The 2604-nt window shown below is 41.7% G+C and overlaps 1 annotated feature.

Annotated features, from left to right (window-relative positions):
- Positions 208-1100: an enhancer, noted in NCBI's record as "NANOG hESC enhancer chr10:78538831-78539723 (GRCh37/hg19 assembly coordinates)". NCBI's record gives its function as "activates a minimal SCP1, AML or CMV promoter by ChIP-STARR-seq in naive H9 embryonic stem cells {active_cell/tissue: H9 hESC(naive)}" and the evidence as "EXISTENCE:reporter gene assay evidence [ECO:0000049][PMID:30033119]".

The raw sequence follows: 2604 nt of genomic DNA, 5'->3' as shown, positions 1-2604 counted from the left end.
TTTCCAAGCAGTAAAGCTTTCAAATGTTATCTCTTCATTGGTCTGTTCAATCACACATGCCTGCTACCAAGCTTTATCATATTATGTATCTTTCTCATCACTGCAGCCTGCCACAGCTTTGATGGACTTGTCTGTGTATTCACAAAGGAGGGGAAGAGAGCGCTCCCCTTCCCCCACTGCACCCCTCCTCGTGCGCCCTCATTCCTCTTCTGTAATTCTTCTCTCCCACCGTCCTCTCTTGCCCTTGTTCTGATGTCCAACATGAGTCTCTCTGGCATCCACAAAGGTTGTTGTGCAGCTCTGAGCTTTGGGGACTAAATATAGATCAAAGCCCCATCCTATATGCAGTCATCCAAGAAACAGGTTCCAAAGTGTGTCTGACTTTCTCCTCTCTTTCTGCTTTCAGAAATCATCATCCTTTCTTCCTCATGGTTCTTTTTCCTCCTTATAATCCCTCTTCCTTACCCGTTCTACAACCTCCTACCGGGAAAATTGTGAGGGCATTTTCATGTGTTAACTAACAGACTCGCTAATCCCCTGGTCTGAATACCTTTCCCTGTTTTCAGGGACCCAGAAATCTCAAGGTTACGTTTATTCCCTGACCTACTCCACCACCAGGGAGTCAGGACAAAATTCTGGCCCTTTCTTTCAGTGCTGTAAACCTCTCTTAACTCTATTTCCCAGTTCGAAACAAATAAGGTTCCCATTCATTGTGCATGTGGTGTTTGCATATGCCAAATTCCTCAGCCTTTAGACCATGAGTTATTCAACTGTATGAGAAGGAAAAAAGAAACACAAATGACTAAACAGCCAACTTAGGCCTCCCATTGCCCACACAGTGATGAGGATATACGAGAAAAAATAAAAAGCCCGGATGCCACGCTGTGCTGCTTACAATTAGTCAATAGGGGGTGGAAAGGGAAAGGAGAAACCAAGAAAAGAAAGGCGAAGTTGCTGCAGCCAAGTGTCTCATAAAATTGCCATGTTTTAGCCTGAGTTTATTGTCTGTTAGTGTTGGTAATTGAATTGCTTTCTCCACTGTGAGCTAGTATGGGAACCCACCTCCCTTTTCTATGATCAACATTGAAGTGTGTTCCCAGTTAAATCAGCCTCTTTGATTCATTCATCCATTCAACAAACACGGAGCCTCCACTGTTTGCAGAGTGGGACTCAGAATGCATTTGAAGTCTGAGAAAGGGCAGCAAAGAACCTATGTATGGGCACTTAGAGATTCCTACCAGCACATTGAGGGCTCCACAATAATACTTGACAAACTTCTCTGCATGTCTGCCTCATGAGTCCAGTCTCAGGTATATGGTTGTCCTAGCTGTAGCCTCCAGCTGGGAACCCAGGTGTCTGTTTTTGCTATTTTTCCATCTCTAATTCTGTCGCTAAAGAATCACTGTATAGTTCCTCACCTCCTATCTACAGTTGCACAGGTATTTATTTGGGGGATATACTAAAAATATAAATGAGATTATGGTTCCAAAAAGAACCATGTCACTGTGTGTATGCATAAACACACACGCATGTGCATGCTCACACATGCGCGCACATACACACACATTACTTTAGTTGTATTATTCTTTACTTCAGTTGATCCTAATATAATTAAAGCAATCAATATCTCTTCCCAAAGTGTAAGAATTTGGTTATGTGGTGCGGTTTACAATATCAAAGGCAACACATTGTACTTCTTGGATGGTTTTAATATAAAGAAGGCTGAATTACAGAAATTTAGGGTAGAGAGCAGGATTGAGGTCTCAATAAGTAGGGGGTTGTTATTGTAATCACAGCCTTTCACCAACTTGCTCTGAGACCTTGGACTAGTCACTTTTATTTTAAAATACAAACATACATATAAATAAAATTATAAATAGATTTCTATCTATAACTTTAACACCAACTATATGTGAAAACCGGAAGTATTAGTTTGCTAAGGCTACCATAACAAAATATTACAGACTGCGTGGCTTAAACAACAGACAGGTATTTTCTCCCAGTTCTGGAGGCTGAAAGTCCACCATCAAGGTATCTTTGGGTTTGATTTCTTCTGAGGCTCCTCTCCTTGGCTTGTTGATGGCCATGATGATGGCCGTCTTTTCTCTGTACGCGCATATCTTGGATATCTCTTCTTCTTGGCTTTAGTTTAACTTGAATACCTCTTTGAAGACCTTATCTTCAAATACAGTTCTATTCTGAAGTACTGGGATTAGGACTTTAACATATGAATTTCAGATGGACACAGTTCAGCCCATAACATTAGGTGCTAGGGCTACAAACTAAATGGGGCAAAAGGCAGTCCTTGAGACAGAAATAAAGTTAATTATACTGCAGCATAAGAAGTGCAGCAATAGAGGCAGCCACTGACTGGGTAGAGTGAGGGTACAGAAGCAAAATCAGCAAGTCAGCTTGACAGGGTCAAAGAAAATATCAAAAGGGAGACAGTATTTGCCCTGGGTCTTGCTGTCATAGTAGGAATTTTCCAGGAGAAGACTGAGAAAATGGAAGGGAAAACATGAGGAAGTGGCAGGGCATTTTATAAGGGTAGATATTTAAGGTCAACCCAGTGGCCTGTGTAGGCCAGTGCTATCTCACAGTAAG

Source organism: Homo sapiens, chromosome 10, assembly GCF_000001405.40.
Source record: "Homo sapiens chromosome 10, GRCh38.p14 Primary Assembly".
NCBI classification, from domain to species: domain Eukaryota; kingdom Metazoa; phylum Chordata; class Mammalia; order Primates; family Hominidae; genus Homo; species Homo sapiens.
Note: the sequence above shows the minus strand (reverse complement) of the source record. Positions and strands in the feature narration are given on the sequence as shown.